This window comes from Homo sapiens, chromosome 14 (genome assembly GCF_000001405.40).
Source record: "Homo sapiens chromosome 14, GRCh38.p14 Primary Assembly".
Taxonomy (NCBI): Eukaryota; Metazoa; Chordata; class Mammalia; order Primates; family Hominidae; genus Homo; species Homo sapiens.
In genome coordinates, this window is record NC_000014.9 from 49,679,812 (window position 1) to 49,700,200 (window position 20,389).

General features: G+C 44.5%; 2 protein-coding genes and 1 pseudogene across 11 annotated transcripts in view, besides 5 other annotated features; 2 read left to right on the forward strand and 1 right to left on the reverse strand.

Moving 5' to 3' along the window:
* POLE2 (DNA polymerase epsilon 2, accessory subunit) overlaps positions 1-8,403 on the reverse strand; it is a 44,660-nt gene extending 36,257 nt beyond the window's left edge. For all 9 annotated transcript variants that reach the window (XR_007064016.1, XR_007064015.1, NM_001197330.2 and 6 more), the window contains exons 1-2: positions 8,325-8,403; positions 3,782-3,882 (exon numbers count right to left, since the gene is read on the reverse strand). Coding sequence is in view for 6 of the 9 variants with exons in the window: in NM_001197330.2 (NP_001184259.1) it covers positions 3,782-3,882; positions 8,325-8,392 (169 nt within the window). In the remaining 3 variants the exon portion in view is untranslated. The remainder of the gene's footprint in view (positions 1-3,781; positions 3,883-8,324) is intronic.
* RNU6ATAC30P (RNA, U6atac small nuclear 30, pseudogene) lies at positions 4,733-4,854 on the forward strand (annotated as a pseudogene).
* Positions 7,640-8,401: an enhancer, noted in NCBI's record as "H3K27ac-H3K4me1 hESC enhancer chr14:50154169-50154930 (GRCh37/hg19 assembly coordinates)". NCBI's record gives its function as "activates a minimal SCP1, AML or CMV promoter by ChIP-STARR-seq in naive H9 embryonic stem cells {active_cell/tissue: H9 hESC(naive)}" and the evidence as "EXISTENCE:reporter gene assay evidence [ECO:0000049][PMID:30033119]".
* Positions 8,402-9,161: an enhancer, noted in NCBI's record as "H3K27ac-H3K4me1 hESC enhancer chr14:50154931-50155690 (GRCh37/hg19 assembly coordinates)". NCBI's record gives its function as "activates a minimal SCP1, AML or CMV promoter by ChIP-STARR-seq in naive H9 embryonic stem cells {active_cell/tissue: H9 hESC(naive)}" and the evidence as "EXISTENCE:reporter gene assay evidence [ECO:0000049][PMID:30033119]".
* Positions 8,466-8,515: a silencer, noted in NCBI's record as "silent region_5702". NCBI's record gives its function as "represses an Ori minimal core promoter by ATAC-STARR-seq in GM12878 lymphoblastoid cells {active_cell/tissue: GM12878}" and the evidence as "EXISTENCE:reporter gene assay evidence [ECO:0000049][PMID:35858748]".
* The window catches only part of KLHDC1 (kelch domain containing 1), a 60,031-nt gene continuing 52,950 nt past the window's right edge, over positions 13,309-20,389 (forward strand). For both annotated transcript variants that reach the window (NM_172193.3, XM_011536422.3), the window contains exon 1: positions 13,309-13,479. In NM_172193.3, coding sequence (NP_751943.1) covers positions 13,384-13,479 — 96 coding nt within the window. In that variant the 5' untranslated portion in view covers positions 13,309-13,383. The remainder of the gene's footprint in view (positions 13,480-20,389) is intronic.
* Positions 13,454-13,503: a silencer, noted in NCBI's record as "silent region_5703". NCBI's record gives its function as "represses an Ori minimal core promoter by ATAC-STARR-seq in GM12878 lymphoblastoid cells {active_cell/tissue: GM12878}" and the evidence as "EXISTENCE:reporter gene assay evidence [ECO:0000049][PMID:35858748]".
* Positions 13,514-13,683: a silencer, noted in NCBI's record as "silent region_5704". NCBI's record gives its function as "represses an Ori minimal core promoter by ATAC-STARR-seq in GM12878 lymphoblastoid cells {active_cell/tissue: GM12878}" and the evidence as "EXISTENCE:reporter gene assay evidence [ECO:0000049][PMID:35858748]".

Here is a 20,389-nt window from a genome sequence, read left to right on the forward strand (position 1 = left end):
ATTTCAAAGTCAAAATTTAAAAACAAAAAAAAAAATAGTTCTTTCCACAGACAGCTCTTTTCCCAAAAATAATTTGCAAATATTAATACTGAGATTCTCATTATACAGTTTTTGGAGAAAAAAAGTGTTAGGTCAGAACAATAACAAAAGCCTTATCTCAAATACCTTCATTTTCCACACTCAAAGTTACAATACCTTAATATACAGTCAAATGCCTTAATTTTCTAAACCCTGTTTAGTTATAAGAACATTTCTGAGCTAGGGTCGGTGGCTCACACCTATAATCCTAACACTTTGGGAGGCCAAGGCAGGAGGATGGCTCGAGCCCAGGAGTTTGAGACCAGCCCAGACAACGTGGTGAAACCCCTTCTCTACAAAAAATATAAAACTTAGCTGGGGGTGGTGGCACATGCCTGTAGTCCCAGATACTCAGGAGGCCAAGATGGGAGGATCACCTGAGCCCAGGGAGGTGGAGGCTGCAGTGAGCTGTGATCATGCCACTGGCACTCCAGCCTGGGCCACACAGAGTGAGATACTATCTCAAAAAAAAAAAAAATTCTCTAAGCTCCCAGTTTTAATAAGGTTACATTAGTATAACTTTATCATCATAACTGCTCAGTTTCAATGAGCATGATAGTAACAATAGCAGCTACCACTTATTAAGCATTGAGTAAATGTGTGGCACCATCCTCAGTACTTTATTTACAAGTATTATTCCACTGGGTAGATGTCCTGTAAGACTGATGTTAAGATGCCCATATCTTATAGATAGGGAAAATACAACTTTAAGAGGTTGAAAATTTTGCCCAAAAACTAGAAGAGATAGAGAGCAACAAAAACCCAGGACTGATTCCAGTGGGGGCTCTTTTAATCACTTTGATATGTTGTCAAGCAAAATACCATGTGCCATCTTAAATCAATGTACACAGGGACAAGTATCATTTTCTTTTTTTTTTTTTTGAGACGGAGTCTCGCTCTGTCAGCTAATTTTTTGTATTTTTAGTAGAGACGGGGTTTCACTGTGTTAGCCAGGATGGTCTCGATCTCCTGACCTCGTGATCCGCCCGCCTCAGCCTCCCAAAATGCTGCGATTACAGGCGTGAGACAAGTATCAGTTTCTAAATGTTCAACTGTAAAGGAATTTTTTAAGCAAAGGTATATGTAAAATTCTGCCTTTAGGAATGAAAATGAGATATAATAACCATTTATCCTGTATCACGGAGTATGTTTCTTCCTATATAATTGAAGTGACTAGCATCTATATAACATTAAGAGTGAACTCGGCACTTCTCAGCCTTTTATGCTAAGATAAAGTGGACAGTGAGCCATACCCACTTCTATCCTCAGGGTGCTATAAATATCAGACTTTTTTTCCAAGGGGAAGAGCATTTCTTCTTTCCAGTCCCATGCTTGTGGTATTAAGTATTTAACAAAAAGGTCCCTGAATCCCTATGGCAGTGTGGCAGTGGCAAGAGGAAACATGCTGATACAGTTTTACTGACAGGTTGAATAGAGAGGTGTCTCAGAAAACTCCCCGAAGTATATGGCTGAAATGGACTGCAAATCATAAAAAACTGGAACAGAGGTTTAGTTCATGTATTGGTGGCCCCATTCTAGCTTCTTTGGGCATGTTTCAACAGATGTGACTTTCCAAAAAAGAACATGAAGAAAGAGAGGAGGGGCCAGGTGTGGTGGCTCACGCCCGTAATCCCAGCACTTTGGGAGGCCAAGGTGGGTGGATTACCTGAGGTCAGGAGTTCAACACCAGCCTGACCAATATGGTGAAACCCTGTCTCTACCAAAAATATAAAAATTAGCCTGGTGTGGTGGCACGCACCTGTAGTCCCAGCTACTCAGGAGGCTGGGACAGAAGAATCGCTTGAACCCGGGAGGCAGAGGCTGCAGTGAACCAAGATGGCGCCATTGCAGTGAACCGAGATGGCGCCATTGCAGTGAACCGAGATGGCGCCATTGCACTCCAGCCTAGGCAACAGAGTGAGACTCTGTCCCGCTCTCACCAAAAAAAAAAAAAAAAAAGGGAGAGGAGGGAAGCAGTGTGTAGAAAGCAAATGCCTTGAAGGAGTTCCCAAACCTCTACCTTCCTGGGTCACCTTATGTTTCATAACTTTGGTATACTCAAGAAAAAAATGACCATCTTTTATAGAATGTGCTTTTCTTGAAATCCACTTATTCTTTTTTTTTTTTTTTTTTGAGACGGAATCTCACTCTGTCACCCAGTCTGGAGTGCAGTGGCATAATCTCAGCTCACTGCAACCTCTGCCTCCCGGGTTCAAGCGATTCTCCTGCCTCAGCCTCCCAAGGAGCTGGGATTACAGGCGCCTGCCACCATGCCTGGCTAATTTTTGTATATTTAGTAGAGACAGGGTTTGCCATGTTGTCCAGGCTGACCTTGAACTCCTGAACTCAGGCGTTCCCACCAGCCTCGGCCTCCCAAAGTGCTGGGATTACAGGTGTTAGCCACCATGCCTGGCCCCACTTATTCTTATCACAAGCGTTATATAATTTTGTATCAATGTCTATTTTCACCAGGTACAATGGCTCACGCCTGTAATCCCAGCACTTTGGGAGGCCGAGGTGGGCGATCACCTGAAGTTGGCGGTTCGAGACCAGCCTGGCCAACATGGTGAAACCTCGTCTCCACTAAAAATACAAAAATTAGCCAGGCATGGTGGCGCACACCTGTAATCCCAGCTACTCGGGAGGCTGAGGCAGGAGAATCATTTGAACCCAGGAGGCAGAGGATGCAGTGAGCCGAAATAGCACCACTGCATTCCAGCCTGGGCGACAGTGCAAGACTCCTTCTCAGGGAAAAAAAAAAAAAAAAAAAAAAAAAAGTCTATTTTCTACAGTTTGCTTTCAGTAAAATGCCTTCCAACTCTGTTTAGTGTATTCATTATCAGTGCATTAGTAGAATTGCTTTTTATTGAAAAGTTACTGTCTCTGCCCTTTAACTTAGACTTACAAAATTAAGTTAAAATGACTAGCCATTCTATTAAAAAAAAAAAATCCCTGAAGAAATCAAGAAGAGATGTCAGCTCTGTTTACTTTACTCTTCTTTTTTTCCTCCCAAACATTTAGGAGTTAATGACTTAAATAAGACATGGTAATAGCCACTAGGAGAGACAAAGTGACCATAAAGGACCAGATCAAAATCAGAAGCCAAGTGCAGGAAACATGGTGGTGACACCTCCACTGGGGGAAAGGAACTATAAAAGGGCCCTTGGGGATCATCCTGAGGTTCCAACTAAACTAAGGGTTTGGATGTCATCAACAGTTAAAATAAAAAAGGCCGGGTGTGGTGGCTCCCGCCTGTAATCCTAGCACTTTGGGAGGCCGAGGCAGGTGGACTGCGTGAGCCCAGGAGTTTGAGACCAGGCTGAGCAACACAGTGAAACCCCATCTCTACTAAAATACAAAAAATTAGCCTGACATGGAGGTGTGTGCCTGTAATCCCACCTACTCGTGAGGCTGAGACAAGAAAATTGCTTGAACCCGGGAGGTGGGGGTTGCAGTGAGCCAAGATAGCGCCATTGCACTCCAGCCTGGGCAACAGAGCGAGACTCCATCCCAAAAAAGAAAGAAAAAAAAATTAAAATAAACTAAAGGTATTACCCCTTGGGAAGAAATGCTACCATGCATACATCTTATAACACTGGGACATCTTAATAGTGAAGCCTCAACTTCAATTTAAATCTATACATCTAACTGAAGATGCAGAACTATATTAACAATTTAGGAGTTATCAGAAAATATTACTTACAGGGTTGCTTCTCAACTGCATTAATTATCTTTTCCAGTTTATCTTCAAGCTCTAATTCACTGATAGACTGAAGAGCTTCTGTGAGGTACTTAATAGCTTCACTAAGAAAAGGAAAGGAAAAATGAGGCAGGTCATTAGTAATTAAAGGCTAAAAGTTTTCTGCCAAAAAGCAGCAAATACTCATCAATCTGGCACTGAAAGGAAGAACCACTAACTGCTCTCTTCAAGTAGCACTTTATCTTTCCTGTGCTTTCTGAACAAAATCATCCTCCTATGCCTTGCTAACATAAAGCCTCAAATCACATCCTTCCTCTAAGAAGGCTTCCTAGACCAGCTCTACCTGCTGCAATCTCCCCTTTCTTCTGAAATTGTTAAAAATCACATTTACATATACCTTAGATCTGATATATTACATTAGCCTTTTATTACTTACTACCCTACATTTAAGGCAAGAGTCCATCTGTTTCAATGTCAAGCACCATATCCTGAACATAAGACACTCATATATTTAATTTGATAATGCACTTGTTCAAAGTAAATTCCAATAATCACTGTTTTCAATTGTAAAATAAGAAAAAAAATAGGCTTGGCTGTGCGCGGTGGCTCACGCCTGTAATCCCAGCATTTTGGGAGGCCGAGGCGGGCGGATCATGAGGTCAGGAGATCAAGACCATTCTGGCTAACACACGATGAAACCCCGTCTCTACTAAAAACACAAAAAATTTAGCCGGGCATGGTGGCGGGCGCCTGTAGTCCCAGATACTCGGGAGACTGAGGCAGGAGAATGGCGTGAACCCGGGAGGCAGAGCTTGCAGTAAGCCGAGATCGCGCCACTGCACTCCAGCCTGGGCGAGAGAGCGAGACTCCGTCTCAAAAAAAAAAAAGGCTTTAAAAAACTATGACATTTGAATATAATCATAGAAGCAACACTCATTAAAATCACATGAATTTGTGTTATACGAAAGGAGAGGTTGGCACTCCACTTGACAAAGATGGAAGAGGCCCTCGGGCCTGACAATACACATATGGTAAGGCACTGCCACCTGCTTCATGGAGTCTGACCATCATTAAAAAAAAAAAAAAAAAAAAAAAATCATGGCTGGGCACGCGGTGGCTCACGCCTGTAATCCCAGCACTTTGGGAGGCCAAGACGGGCAGATCACGAGGTCAGGAGATCGAAACCATCCTGGCTACCACGGTGAAACACCATCTCTACTAAAAATACAAAAACAAAATTAGCCAGGCATGGTGGCGGGCGCCGGTAGTCCCAGCTACTTGGGAGGCTGAGGAGGGAGAACGGAGTGAACCTGAGAGGCGGAGCTTGCAGTGAGCGGAGATCGGGCCACTACACTCCAGCCTGGGCAACAGAGAAACTCCATCTCAAAAAAAATAAATAAATAAAATAAAATCACATTAATTCCTTACCTAAATCCCAACAATGATCAGAATGAACATGATTAACTAGTTACATGCCACTACATGCCATTCTGTATTTGTAGCACACTTTATACCTCACATCAATATTATTGCTGATTACAATATTAAACAATTAGCTAATTACATGCCATTCTGTATTTGTAGCACACAATTTAACATTTCACATATTATTGTTATAGCCATAACACTAATTGTTCTATATATTGGGTTGCTTTATTAGTTGTTTTGTGTGTAGGTGTTGCATCTCTCAAATTTATTATAGATAACTGAGAACTGAATTATAGATAACTTTAAAACTGTAACTTAGAACTCTGTGCCATCCTTCCACAGAGTTCTAAATACACTTGAAGGTGGTCCATAAATATTTGACCACTGAGTCCCTAAAATCATATACATTTTGGTTGCATCTTGGGACAGTTCTTAGCATAGACCAAAGCCTGTAAAGCCATACAGAATCTTGCCCCTGCCAAATCCCATTAAGCTCATACCATGTCCCTGGCCTTCCTGGCACTCTCCTGCTTTAGGGTCTTTATATGGCCATTTCCTCCCACTCTTCTCTCCACCTAGTCAGGTCCTGTTCTTTCTTTTTTTTCTTTCTTTCTTTTTTGAGATGGAGTCTCGCTCTCTTACCCAGGCTGAAGTGCAGTGGCGTAATCTTGGCTCACTGCAACCTTCACCTCCCGGGTTCAAGCGATTCTCTTGCCTCAGCCTCCTGAGTAGCTGGGGTTACAGGTGCACATCACCACGTCTGGCTGGTTGGTTTTTTTTTTTGTATTTTTAGTAGAGACAGGGTTTCATCATGTTGGTCAGGCCGGTCTCGAATTCCTGACCTCGTGATCCGCCCACCTCAGCCTCCCAAAGTGCTGGGATTACAGGCGTGAGCCACTGCGCCCAGCCAAGTCCTGCTCATTCTTTAAGTCAGCCCAAACCACTTCTGCAGTGAAGTTCTTCCTTGACTCTAGGGCAGTTTATACACCTTATCATAAACTCTCATAGCCCTTCTTTCCTGGAATCCCTTTCACAATTGAGATTAAATAGCTGTAAAATAGTCATTTAATATCCATGGTAGACAGACTTCTAAGATGGCCCCTAATAATCCATTACTCCTGGTAGTTACACCTATGTAATCCCCTGCCCTTAAGTGTGGGCTGGACCTAGTAACTTGTTTCTAAAAATAGAATATAGCAAAAGGGATAGAATAACTTACTGTATTATAATTTTGAAAGTAAAATTTAAAAGTAAAAAAAATTTAAAAATAACAAGATGTCACCTCCTTGATTAGGTTGCCTCAGAGTTACTAGAAGACTCTCTCTCTTGATGAAGCCATGTTGGGGGCACACATGGCAAGGGACTGAGGATAGCCTCCAGCCAACAGCCTGCCAGGCAATCAGGAACTGAATCCTGCCAACAACTGAATGAGCTTGAAGCGAATGCTGTCTGGACAACATTTGAGATGATCCATCTTGACTGCAACCTTGTGAAAAGACCCTGAAGTTGAGGACCCAACTAAGCCACACCTGAATTCCTAACCCACAGAAAATTTGAGATAATGTGTACTGTTTTAGCCTTTAAATTGTGGGGTAATTTGTCACGCAGCAATAGAATACATTATCTGCCCCCTACAAAGCTCTTGCTCTCTATTGCACCCCCTTACCCCAGCACGGTGCTTTGCAGCTAACAGATTTAAGTATACTTATGACTGAAATAATTAATGAACAAAAGCTTAATATTAGGTCAAATTCTAAGCGAAAAGAAAGTTAATTCATCAGTTCCTCATGCTTTCAAAATGTCAAGGACCAATTGAACAAAATTCATTATTTTCTCCCAAGGCATCTCCCAAAGCACAGTTAAAAGTCCCATAAAACTCACAAAACCAACCAAAAATCTACACACACAAAAGCAATAAAAACTGATACAGAGAGGTATATCCAATCCAGCAGGTATTTCAATATGTATAAAATATTGTGTTCTAGGTCAGGCGCAGTGGTTCACGCCTGTAATTCCAGCATTCTGGGAGGCCACGGCGCGAGGACTACTTGAGCCCAGGAGTTCAAGACCAGCCTGGGCAACATAGCCAGACCCCGTCTCTAAAAAACATACAACAACAAAAAATCAGCCAGGTATGGTGGCCCATGCCTGCAGTCCCAGCTACTTCAGCCCAGGAGGTTGAGGCTGCAGTAAGTCAAGTTCGCATCACTGCCCTCCAGCTTGGGCGAGAGTGAGACCATGACTCAAAAAAAAAAAAATACATATATATATATACACACACACCACACACACACACACACACACACACACACACACACACGTACATATAGAACTCTAAAACACGGAGCAGATTTAATGAGAGAAATCTTGGGAAGGTTCATATGTTCTATAGGTCCTCAAAAACACGGATATGCCCAGGAAACCTGACTTTCACATAAATTGGCAACTGCAGACGTGCAAGTGGGCTTTCTCGGGTCTCTCATCTTATGTCTCAGCAACCTTCCCGGGAGCCTGAGAGCTGTCCAGGTCACAATGTTGATAACCGGCTGCCATAGATAGGTTGCAGCTTCTCGGGCTCAGTTTGACATGTGCAGAAGAGCCTCGGCCCGCCTAGAAGAAACATTAAACTCCTCGCATGGGTCGGGGAAACCAAAGAAGGCACGGCAGCCTCAAGATCCACCTCGCTTCTTAGAACTTTTTTTTAATGGAGTCTCTCTCTGTCGCCAGGATGGAGTAGAGTGGCACGATATCGGCTCACCGCAACCTCCTCCTCCCGGGTTCAAGCGATTCTCCTGCCTCAGCCTCCCAACTAACTGGGACTACAAGCGCGCGCCACCACGCCCAGCTAATTTTTGTATTTTTAGTAGAGACGGGGCTTCACCATGTTGGCCAGGATGGTCTCGATCTCCTGACCTCGTGATCCGCCCGCCTCGACCTCCCAAAGTGCTGGGATTACAAGCGTGAGCCACCGCGCCCGACCGCTTCTTAGAACTCTGAAATTTAAGGTCAAGCCCCCTCTCGGCGCGCGGGGAGCCGCCGCGGTGCGTCCCGCTGCCGCACCAGGCAGACGGGCCCCAGCTCTTCCCTCTCGCCCTTCAAGCTGCCCGAGCCCACTCACCCACGGAGCAGCAAGCCCCGCAACTTGAAGGCGGAGAGCGCCCGGCTCCGCAGCCGCTCCGGCGCCATATTTGCGATTTGGCGCCACCGCCGCAGCTCCGCCCCTTCCCGGGCGCGCCCCTCCCAGCTCCGGCCTCGGCCCTGGCCCGCGTGGCGCTAAACCCTGTTAAGATCCCTGCTTGGTCTCCGCTGCCTGCGCCGCAGCAACTCAGACCTTACAGTTCGCAACCCCGGACCGAGTAGGCTGAAAGTGGAGACCACCTCGCGCTCCTTTGCTGCCGGGAAACTGAGGGCCAGAGCGTCTTCCCTGGTGTCGGGCTGCGTTGAGCCAGCCACAGCGCTCTCACCGCTGCCCTAGACATTGCAGGACTGCGGCCGAGCTTCCCGGACACAGGATCCCCCTTCTTTCGAGGCCATGAGAGCTGTTGGGTTCCCTACTTCGCACAAGCTCTGGAAATACTGTGCCTCGACATTTACCGGAAGCTGTTATAAATCTCCATCGCTCCCACCTACCCCGATTTTTATTTAACTTGAGGGCTTCGTATGCGCCATGCACTGTCATAAGCACTTTAAATGTGTGAATTCATGTGTTGCTCATGACAGCCCAGTGAGCTGTCTACTGTCTTTTCCACAACAGCCTCATTTTACAGATGAGAAAACTGAGACACAAAAATGGTAAAGGACTTGCTCAAGATGAAACGACGAGTTAAATGGTGTAGTCAGGATTTGAACTCAGTTATTCTGATTTCAGGTGGACTGTCAATCTGCCACACTTCAAAACGCTTGCTCCAATGAGTTGACTAACCCGTGGAGTGCTTATAAGTAAACACGCGGCTTATAAAACAGGAGGATGATTTCACAGTACCAATATAAAGTGACCTCCAACGTATACGGGTTTTTTTCTTTTTTAAAAAAAAGCGAAGTTTAATGAAGGAAGGGAAACAAAAGTATATGTATTTGTTTTTGCATTTTAAAAACCTCTGGGCCCGGGCGCGGTGGCTCACATCTGTAATCCCAGAACTTTGGGAGGCCGATGCTGGCAGATCACTTGAGGCCAAGAGTTCGAGAACAGCCGGGCCAACATGGTGAAACCCCGTCTCTACCAAAAAAAAAAAAAAAAAAAAAAAATTAGCCAGGCGTGGTGGCGCGCGCCTGTAATCCCAGCTCCTGGGGAGGTTGAGGCAGGAGAATCTCTTGAGCCTCGGAGGCGGAGGGTGCAGTGAGCCGAGATCGTGCCACCACTCCAGCCTGGGCAACAAAGCAAGGCTCTGTCTCAAAAACAAAAAAAGCCGGGCGCAGTGGTTCACGCCTGTAATCCCAGCACTTTGGGAGGCCGAGGTGGGCGGATCATCTGAGGTCAGGAGTTCGAGACCAGCCTGACCAACATGGAGAAACCCCGTCTCTACAAAAATACAAAAAAATTAGCCAGGCATGGTGGCGCATGCCTGTAATCCCAGCTACTCGGGAGGCTGAGGCAGGAGAATTGTCTGAACCCGGGAGACAGAGGTTGCGGTGAGCCGAGATGGGGCCATTACACTCCAGCCTAGGCAACAAGAGTGAGACTCTGTCTCAAAACAACAGCAACAACAACAACAAAACAACTCTGGAAGGTTAAATCAGAGACCACAAAAATGGTTAACTACAAAGGGGTGAGGGGATAGGGATGAAAGTGAAAACTTTCTTTACAGTGAGACTTTTAATCCATGTGCATGTTTTACATATTCAAAAAATAGAAAATAAAAAGGTGAGCTTAAAATTGAATGCATACTAAAACTAATACACCTAATTGTATATTAAATTGGTAACATAACATCACAAGTGATTTTTGAACACAGTTCTCTTTATTTAGTGAAATATTTTTCAAAGACAAAAAGTACAAAGAAATTTTTAATTTTTATGTAAGAAAGGATAGGAAATACGAATAGAAAGACATATAGTTAATTCTCATTACTGTACCTGTGATAGTTAGATTTTATAAGTAGCCACCAACAAATAATTATTGAATACTAAACCATTCCTACTAGGGGAAGTACAGAATTAGGTTCCTGTGAGCCTCTGGTGACAATGTTTTCATCAACTGATCAACATATAACCTTGTTTTGTTTTTTTTTTTTTTTTTTTTTTGAGACGGAGTTTCGCTCTGTCGCCCAGGCTGGAGTGCAGTGGCGCGATCTCGACTCACTGCAAGCTCCGCCTCCCGGGTTCACGCCATTCTCCTGCCTCAGCCTCCCGTGTAGCTGGGACTACAGGCGCGCGCCACCATGCCCGGCTAATTTTTGTATTTTTAGTAGAGACGGGGTTTCACCGTGTTAGCCAGGATGGTCTCGATCTCCTGACCTCGTGATCCCCCCGTCTCGGCCTCCCAAAGTGCTGGGATTACAGGCGTGAGCCACCGCGCCCGGCCTATAACCTTGTTTTATGTGTGTTTTTATGTAAAGACATCTTTACATTGTGATTCGTTAACACTGAACTCAGGGCCAAGAGCCCTATAACTCATAGCTGAAGGAAGCTTATTTATCACATGTATTTTCTCCATAAGGCACTCCCACTCTCAAATAATTCAACAAAATGAAAAAGACAGACACACACATACCAACAAACATAAAGCTAGTATGGTAGTATTAATAATTATTAACCTGGAGTGGAAGATACACAGGTACTCTTTGAACTATTTTTTCAACTTTTTTTGGTTTGCTACTTTTTATATTAAGAAATTGGAGAGAAAATAATCAATTCCAGTTGCCCAGCTTTCTCTCACAATCTGACCTCACAATTCCCCTTTTCCCATAAATGTTCCCAATCATAATTCTCTTTCTCTAATAAATTTTCAACTTCTTCTATGGCTCCTTCACCTGGCCAGCTCATAAAGTCCCAATACTTAAATGAACAATTATATGCTGATGACTCCAAAATCCCTATCTCTAGCCCTTAGCTCTCTTAGACTTCAAATCCAACTCAATATGCCTCCAAATGAACTCACCATTAGCCCTGCCCTCCCCCAAACCTGTTCCTCCTCCCATGTTCAATAACCTAGCGAAGGGCTCCACCCACCTCCCACCCAGTGACCAAGCTGGTAAACTAGGCATATCCTTGACTCTTCCCTCTCACGAATGAAAGTTCCTTGAACAACTTCCGTTCATCATTCAGTTCTTAACTTAGACTTTACTTTCTCTCAGGAACCTTCCCTGTCTTCCCTCAATCTGAGTTAAAGGGCCTCTGTACACCCAAGGTGCCCTGGACTTTTGCTATTTTCACACTTACTGCACGGTATGGTAATTGTCTGTTTGCTGGTCTATAGACTCCACCAGACTCTACAGTCCAGGAGGACAAATGCTCCATTTCAAAAATACAATACCAATATTACTAGTAACAATAAAGTGATGGAGTGAGAATTATGATTGACATATAGTTTACACTAAGTAAAATGCACATATCTGTATGCAGTTCAATGCATTTTGATAAATGTATACACCCATGTAACCACCACCTCAATCAAGATACAGAACATTTTAATCACTCCAGAACACTTCCTGTACTCCTTTCCATCAGTCCCCTCCCCCTCCCTACTCCCAAATGACCACTTTTCTGCTTTCTATTATCATAGATCACTTTTGTCTATCTTGAATTTCTTCCTTCCTTCCTCCCTTCCTCCCTCCCTCCCTTCTTCCTTCCCTCCCTTCCTCCTTTTTCTTTCTTTCTCTCTCCCTTTCCCTCTCTCTCTCTTTCTCTCTTTCTTTCTAAGGAACCTTGCTCTGTCGCCCAGACCGGAGTGCAGTGGCGCGATCTCGGTTCACTGCAACCTCCACCTCCCGGGTTAAAGCGATTCTCTTGCCTTTGTAGCTGGGATTACAGGCATGCGCCACCACGCCCGGCTAATTTTTGTATTTTTAGTAGAGACGGGATTGCCCAGGTTGGCCAGGCTGGTCTCAAACTCCTGAGCTCAAGTGATCCGCCTACCTCATCCTCCCAAAGTGCTTAGATGAGAGGCGTGAGCCACTGCAATCCAGTTACATTTGTAAAGTTAAATATGCATTTATCCTCTGACCCAGCAATTCCACATCTAGAACTCTACTCCAAAGATAGGCTTGTACAAATACAAAATAACATATGCATAACGTTTCATCGCAGCATTATTTATGATAGCCAAAAAAACCTGGAAATAACCGATATGTCCATCAATAAGAATCTGTTTGAATAAGCTATGACACATCCAATCGGTGGAGTGCTATGAAGCTATGAAAAGGACTGAGGAGACTGCTTGCTGTATCCTGATATGGATCGTCAAGTGAAAAGAGAAAGTTAAGGAACACTGTATATACTTCCTTTTGTGTAAGAAAAGGAGCAGATACTCTGTTTATTTGTATAGTCAAAAATAAACAATAGAAAGTATCATTAAAGTGCACCAGACTTAAGTGCCTTCTAATGTGATGCAATATGAAGTATTTTCCAAAAAAAAATCTGAACTAGAATCTAATAAAGCTTTTAGATACAGCTTCCAGCCTAAAAGAAGTATGGGGAAAGGATGCACAAGTTAATGAGAAAAGACACTGAGGAACCAAACCCAGAAGGTGGTACGGCTGTAGGAAAATAAGAAAACTAATCCATATAACAAACAAATGGCACAAGAGAGAAGGGAGAGAAGCTATTCTAGAGTAAAACAGACGTAAAGTCTTAAGAGGCGTTAACAACGAATTACGGTGCTGAACAAACCAACTATAGAAAAGACATTTTGAGATAATCAAGGAATCTGACTACAGACTGACTACTAAATGAGGCTGTACTGCCAAAACACAATTCCAAGAGAGAAGGAATCTGCGCGTGGAAAGCCCAGGCCCCTTGCCCACTGCGAGGAGCCAGAACGTCCCTCCACAGCCGCGCCGCCCCTGGCTCGACTTCCCGAGCGAGAGCCGCGGGACGTTGCAGACGCACTGGCTCCGCCTTCCCACCAATCTCGACCCTCGCCGCGTTCCGTTCGTGCGTGGAGCAGTCGGGGCTGGAGGCGAGGCCGCCGGGCGGGCAGGGGTTGTGGCGCGGCAAGCGGCGGGCCAGCGACGGCGCGAATGGCGGACTCTCAGCTGTTCTGTGTGGCGGAGGAACGCAGCGGCCACTGCGCCGTGGTGGACGGAAACTTCCTCTACGTGTGGGGGGGCTACGTGGTAAGGGGAAGAGGCGGGACGGGGTAGACTCGCGCCGGGAGACCCTCGGCCTGAGCGGACGCAGCGCCCGCCACACCCGCTCCCGAGGCTGCGGCCCAGGCCTGGCGCGCCCGGCGCCTGCAGCCCCCCAGCCCCTCCGCTGGCCGCCGCCCCCACAGCCGCGCCAGGGCTTGACGTCGTCCCGCCGTTGCTTCTTCTATTAAAGCCTCAGACCCGGCTCCGGGCCTCTTACCACTCTCCGCCCCTCTTTGCCAGCAATTCAGTAACCACGGTTTGCCCAATGCAAAGGCAGTTACAGCGCGATTAATTATTATCCTTAAATACTGGCGCAGACCTAGAAGGACCCGAGGACGCCGTGCTGTATCATTTTGTATATATTTCCTTATTCCCACGGCGCGATTCGAAATAAAATATCGAAATCACTGAAGCATTTAAATATTTATTTTCTTTTCTTTTTCTTTTTTTTTTTTTTTTGAGATGGAGTTTCGCTCTTGTTGCCCAGGGCTGGAGTGCAATGGAACGATCTCAGCTCACCGCAACCTCCGCCCCCCGCCCCGGGTTCAAGCGATTCTCCTGCCTCAGCCTCCCTAGTAGCTGGGCTTACCGGCATGTGCCATCATGCCTGGCTAATTTTGTATTTTTAATAGAGACAGGGTTTCCCATGTTGGTCAGGCTGGTCTTGAACTCGCGACCTCAGGTGATCCGCCCGCCTTGGCTTCCCAAAATGCTGGGATTACAGGCATTAGCCACTGTGCCTGGCTTGCATTTTAAATATTTCTAAGCTATTTTTAGTGGCGTTTCTTTACTAATGACTATTTTTTCTAGTCTCAAAATAGACGCATGTTAGCAATAATATGCTAAGAAATATTATGCTTTAAAATTCTTACTACAATGGAGGTTTGAGCGTATGTGTGTGTTGTGTGTCCATAATCACAGAATTATAGAAGCAAGAATGGTAAAGCTGGAAAACAGGAATACTATATGCCAACCCTCTTAGTTTACAGATTTTTTTTCTTAAGCCATCTGGAAGTTCTACTGATAGTAGAACCTACATCTTCTGTCTCCCTACCATTATGTGACAGACCTGTAACGTGACTGAATCATATTGAAATGACCAACATACAGGCATACCTCGAAGTATTGCAGAATACTTCGTATGACTGCAATAAAGCGAGGTCATACGAATTTTTTTGGTATCTCAGTGCATATAAAAGTCATGTTTACATTGTAGTGTGTTAAGCATGCAATAGTATTATGTGTAAAAAAAAAATGTACATACCTGGCTGGGCGCGGTGGCTCACACCCGTAATCCCAGCACTTTGGGAGGCTGAGGCGGGTGGATTACCTGAAGTCAGGAGTCCGAGACCAGCCTGGCCAACATGGTGAAACCCCGTCTCTACTAAAAACACAAAAATTAGCCGGACATGGTGGCGGATGCTTGTAATCCCAGCTACTCGGGAGGCTGAGGCAGGAGAATCACTTGGACCCGGGAGGCGGAGGTTGCAGTAAGCCAAGATTGCGCCATTGCATTCCAGCCTGGGCGACAGAGCGAGACTCCGTCTCAAAACAAAAAAACAAAAAACTGTACATACCTAATTTCAAAATTATTGCTAAAAAATGCTAAGGATTATCTGAGCCTTCAGCGAGTTGTATTCTTTTTGCTCATGGAGGGTCTTCCTCTATGTAGTTGGCTACTGACTGATTAGGGTGGTTGTTGCTGAAGGTTGGAGTGGCTGTGGCAGTTTCTTAAGACAAGACAATGAAGTTTGCCACATTGAGCCTTCCTTTCACAAAATATTTCTCTGTAACATGCAATGCAGTTTTGATGTGTGTGTGTGTGTGTGTGTGTGTGTGTGTGTTTTGAGACAATCTCTCCTGCAACCTCTGCCTCCCAGGTTCAAGCGATTCTCCTGCCTCAGCCTCCTGAGTAGCTGGAATTACAGGTGTGCACCACCATGCCTGGCTAATTTTTGTATTTTTTACAGGCGTGAGCCACCGTGCCCAGCCATGAAATGTATTTTCTTAAATAATAAGACTTGAAAGTCAAAATGATTCCTTGATCCATGGGCAACAGAATGGATATTGTGTAGCAGGCATGAAAAGATAAATCTTGTAGATCTCCCATCAGAGCTCTTGGGTGACTAGGTGTGTTGTCAATGAGCAGTGAGTGAGATTTTCTGAGCAGCAGTTCTCAACAATAAACTACTCAGTAAGCCATGCTGTCAAAGAGACATGCTGTCATCCAGGCTTTCTTGTTCCGTTGTTAGAGCACAGGCAGTGTAGATTTAGCATAATTCTTAAGGGCCCTAGGATTTTCAGAATGATAAATGAACATTGGCTTCAACTTAAAGACAGCTACTACATTAGCCACTAACAAGAGAATTAGCTGGTCCTTTGAAATTGGACATTGACTTCTCTCTAGCTATGAAAGTCCTAGATGGCATCCTCTTCCAATATAAAGCTGTTTCATCCACGTTAAAAAATCTATTGTTGGCCGGGCACGTTGGCTCACGCCTGTAATCCCAGGACTTTGGGAGGCCGAGGCAGGCGGATCACAAAGTCAGGAGATCAAGACCATCCTGGCTAACATGGTGAAACCCCGTCTCTACTAAAAATACAAAAAAAATTAGCCAGGCGTGGTGGCAGGCGCCTATAGTCTCAGCTACTGGGGAGGCTGAGGCAGGAGAATGGCGAGAACCCAGGAGGCGGAGCTTGCAGTGAGCAGAGATCGCACCACTGCCCTCCAGCCTGGGCGACAGAGTGAGACTCTGTCTCAGAAAAAAAAAAAAAAAAATCTATTGTTTAGTGTAGCCACCTTCATCAGGTATCTTAGCCAGATCTTCTGGATAACTTGCTGCAGGTTCTACATGAGCACATGCTGCTTCACCTTGCACTTTTTTTTTTTTTTTGAGACAGAGTTGCCCAGGCTGTGGTGCAGTGGAAAAGTCTTAGCTCACTGCAACCTCCGCCTTCTGAGCTCAAGCAATTCTCATGCCTCAGCCTCCTGAGTAGCTGGGATTACAGGTGCGTGACACTACACCTGGCTAATTTTTGTATTTTTAGTAGTAATTTAGTAACTTTTGTATTTTCACCATATTGGCCAGGCCGATCTCGAACTGACCTCAGAAGATCTGCCCACTTTGGCCTCCCAAAGTGCTGGGATTACAGGTGTGAGTCACCGTGCCTGGCCTTACCTTGCACTTTTATGTAATGAAGAACAGCTTCCTTCCTTTAAACTCATGTTAGCTTCAAACTTCTGCAGTTTCTCAATTCTCTCAGCCTTCATAGAATTGAAGAGAGTTAAGACCCTCTTCTGAGTTAGGCTCAGGCCTAAGGGAATGTTGTGGCTGTATGATCTTGTATCCAGACCACTAAAACTTCCTCCATGTCAGGAATAAGGCTGTTTTGCTTTCATATTACTCATTTTTCATTAGAATAGCACTCTTGATTTCCTTTAAGAACTTTCCGTTTGGATTTACAACTTGGCTAACTGGCACAAGAGGCCTAGCTTTTGGCCTGTATTAGCTTTTGACATGCCTTTTTCACTAAGCTTAATTTCTAGCTTTTGATTTAAAGTGAGGGACAGTCCACTCTTCCTTCACTTGAACACTTAGAGTCCATTGTAGGGTTACTAACTGGCCTACTTTCTTTTTTTTTTTTTTTTAAGACGGAGTCTCGCTCCATCGCCGAGGCTGGAGTGCAGTGGCACAATCTTGGCTCACTGCAAGCTCTGCCTCCTGGGTTCACACCATTCTCCTGCTTCAGCCTCCCGAGAAGCTGGGACTACAGGCGTGTGCCACCACACCCAGCTAATTTTTTTGAATTTTAATAGAGATGGGGTTTCACCGTGTTAGCCAGGAAGTCTAGATCTCCTGACCTCGTGATCCGCCCGCCTCGGCCTCCCAGAGTGCTGGGATTATAGGCGTGAGCCACCATGCCTGGCAAGGCCTACTTTCAATATTGTTGTATCTGAGGGAATAAGGAGGTCCAAGGAGAGGGAGAGAGAGGGGGGAATGGTTGGTCAGTGGAATAGTCTGAACACACACATTTATCAGTTAAGTTCACCATCCTATACGGGCACAGTTTATGGTGCCCCAAAACAATTACAGTAATATATCAAAGATCATTGATCACAGATCACCATAACAGATATAATAATAATAATGCAAAAGTTTGAAATACTGTGAGAATTACCAAAATGTGACACAGACACGAAGTGAGCATCACTTGCTGTTGGAAAAATGGTGCCAATGGACTTGCTCAATGCAGGGTTGCCACAAACCTTCAATTTATTTAAAAAATGCAATATCTGTCAAGCACAGTAAAGCAAAGCACAATAAAATGAGGTATGCCTATACTGTGTGTGTTAAATAATTCTCAGATTCAAGTTGGTTTTTGTTGTTGTTTTGTGTGTTTATTTTTAATTTGGTTCAGTACCAGTAGGGGAAAATTAGAACTAACTTTTGAGTGCTTACTACATCTGGCATGTGCTAGTTACTGTCACATCCCTAATCTTATATATTCTTACTATATTCCTGTAAAGTACGTAATATCCCTATTTTATAAATAAGGAAAAGGAGTCGATTAGAGTAAGTAACTTTAATGGACATTTCACCTCAGGGGCAGCAGATACCAACAGACGTGTATAGGATTTCCAAAGGCAACTTTTTAGTGATAAACTAAATTAGGTGATTGTGCTTTATGAGTGTCTGATATTTCCACCGTTTATTCTTGATGCAAAGAGTCTAGATATAAAGGTGGCTATATGCACAAGAAATAAATTTTGATTGTTTTGAGTTCTGCCACCTGTAGAGGTGTCTGCTCTATTCTTGATGTTGTAAAAGTTAAGTGAAAAATTCACTTAAAACAGCAATCTGTAATATATCTGTATAGATTTCTTTTGAGCCCATAAATGAAAATATTTTTCCCCTGAGACGGAGTCTTGCTCTGTCGCCCAGGCTGGAGTGCAGTGGCACGATCTCGGCTCACTGCAACCTCCGCCTCCTAGGTTCAAAAGATTCTCCTGCCTCAACCTCCCTAGTAGCTGGGAGTATAGGCACACACCACCACGCCCAACTACTTTTTGTATTCTTAGTACAGGCGGGGTTTCACCATGTTGGCCAGGCTGATCTCAAACTCTTGACCTCGTGATCCGCCCACCTCAGCCTCCCAAAGTGCTGGGATTACAGGCCTGAGCCACCGCGCTCGGCCTTTGTTTTTTGTTTTGTTTTGTTTTGTTTTTTGAGACAGAGTATCTCTCTGTTGCCCAGGCTGGAGTGCAGTGGCACCATCTCGGCTCACTGCAACCTCTGCCTCCTGGGTTCAAGCGATTCTCCTGCCTCAGCCTCCCAAGAAGCTGGGATTACAGGCACATGCCACCACGCCCAGCTAGTTTTTGTATTTTTAGTAGAGACGGAGTTTTGCCATGTTGGCCAGGCTGGTCTCAAACTCCTGACCTTAGGCAGTCAGCCCACCTCGGCCTCCCAAAGTGCTGGGATTTCAGGTGTGAGCCACTGTGCCTGGCCTAAATGTCTGAATTTTTTGCATCTCGTTTTATTCTTGAAAATTGTGTAATTGATAAGATCATACTTCTTGACGAGCGTGGTGGCTCACGCCTGTAATCCCAGCACTTTGGAGGCCGAGGCGGGTGGATCACGAGGGCAGGAGATCGAGACCATCCTGGCTAACTCGGCGAAACCCCGTCTCTATTAAAAATACAAAAAAATAGCCAGGCGTGGTGGCACGTGCCTGTAATCCCAGCTAATCTGGAGGCTGAGGCAGGAGAATCGCTTGATCCCAGAAGGCGGAGGTTGCAGTGAACCGAGATCGTGCCACCGCACTCCAGTCTGGGTGATAGAGCAAGACTGTCTCAAAAAAAAAAAAAAAAAAAAATCACAGTTCTTCAGGTGGCAGTTATTGAATTGAAATACTTCTTTTTCTCCTGTTTATTAATTCAGTCAGTAGAGATGCTGTAAGAACCACTCTGGAAAATACAACACAGATGTAGATCCTGAGTCTACTACTTTTTTAAATTCCAGGGATTATCAGCAGTCAAGAAGTGTCTAAGGCATAAGTGGAAGGAAAGGGAGACTAGGAGGCAAAAAAGAAGCCATATGGGTAGTATAGGCTTTAAAAAAAAAAAAAAAGAGGACATGGCATATCCGGAGAAAAAGTAGAATTCTTCTAACAATTATCTTATTCCGATCGTTCTAAACAAGATAGTTAAAAGGCCCTGGGATCTGGTGGTATTCCAGTACTCAGTAGTTAAGTATAATGATCAGATAGTTCTAGATTATATATTCCAGTCACAATTTTCCTCTTCATTGATACAAACAATGTATTAAAATGGACAAACATATGTTCTAAAGCTCACCGATATCTGTCTAAATTACTGATTTCTCCATTGTCAAACATATTCTGAAGGCCATTATATTAGTATCTGAAAATAGGCACCCCCAGAGGTAAGAGTGATAATATCAAAAAAGTAAATGGTCGATTCTAATTGGTATCAGAATATGATTTTCCTCTTAGTTCTACATCCTTTCCACATTACAGAAATTCACACAGACTTTGGTGCTACTGCAAGGAACATTAAAAGTTGTGAATAGCTTTTCCAAATTTAGGGGAAAAACTCGGTATCTTGGCATGTTTGCAGGTAGTATGGTTTTCCTATCATGGCCCTAATCATTTGAACAGTATTATTTCTGTAATACAATTGATAATATGTTTTGCTGTGAACCTTTTTTTTTTTTTTTTTAGATGGAGTCTCGCTCTTGCCCAGGCTGGAGTGCAGTGGCGCGATCTCGGCTCACTGCAACCTCCGCCTCCCAGGTTCAACCAATTCTCCTGCCTCAGCCTCCCGAGTAGCTGGGACTACAGGTGCTTCCCACCATGCCCAGGTAATTACTGT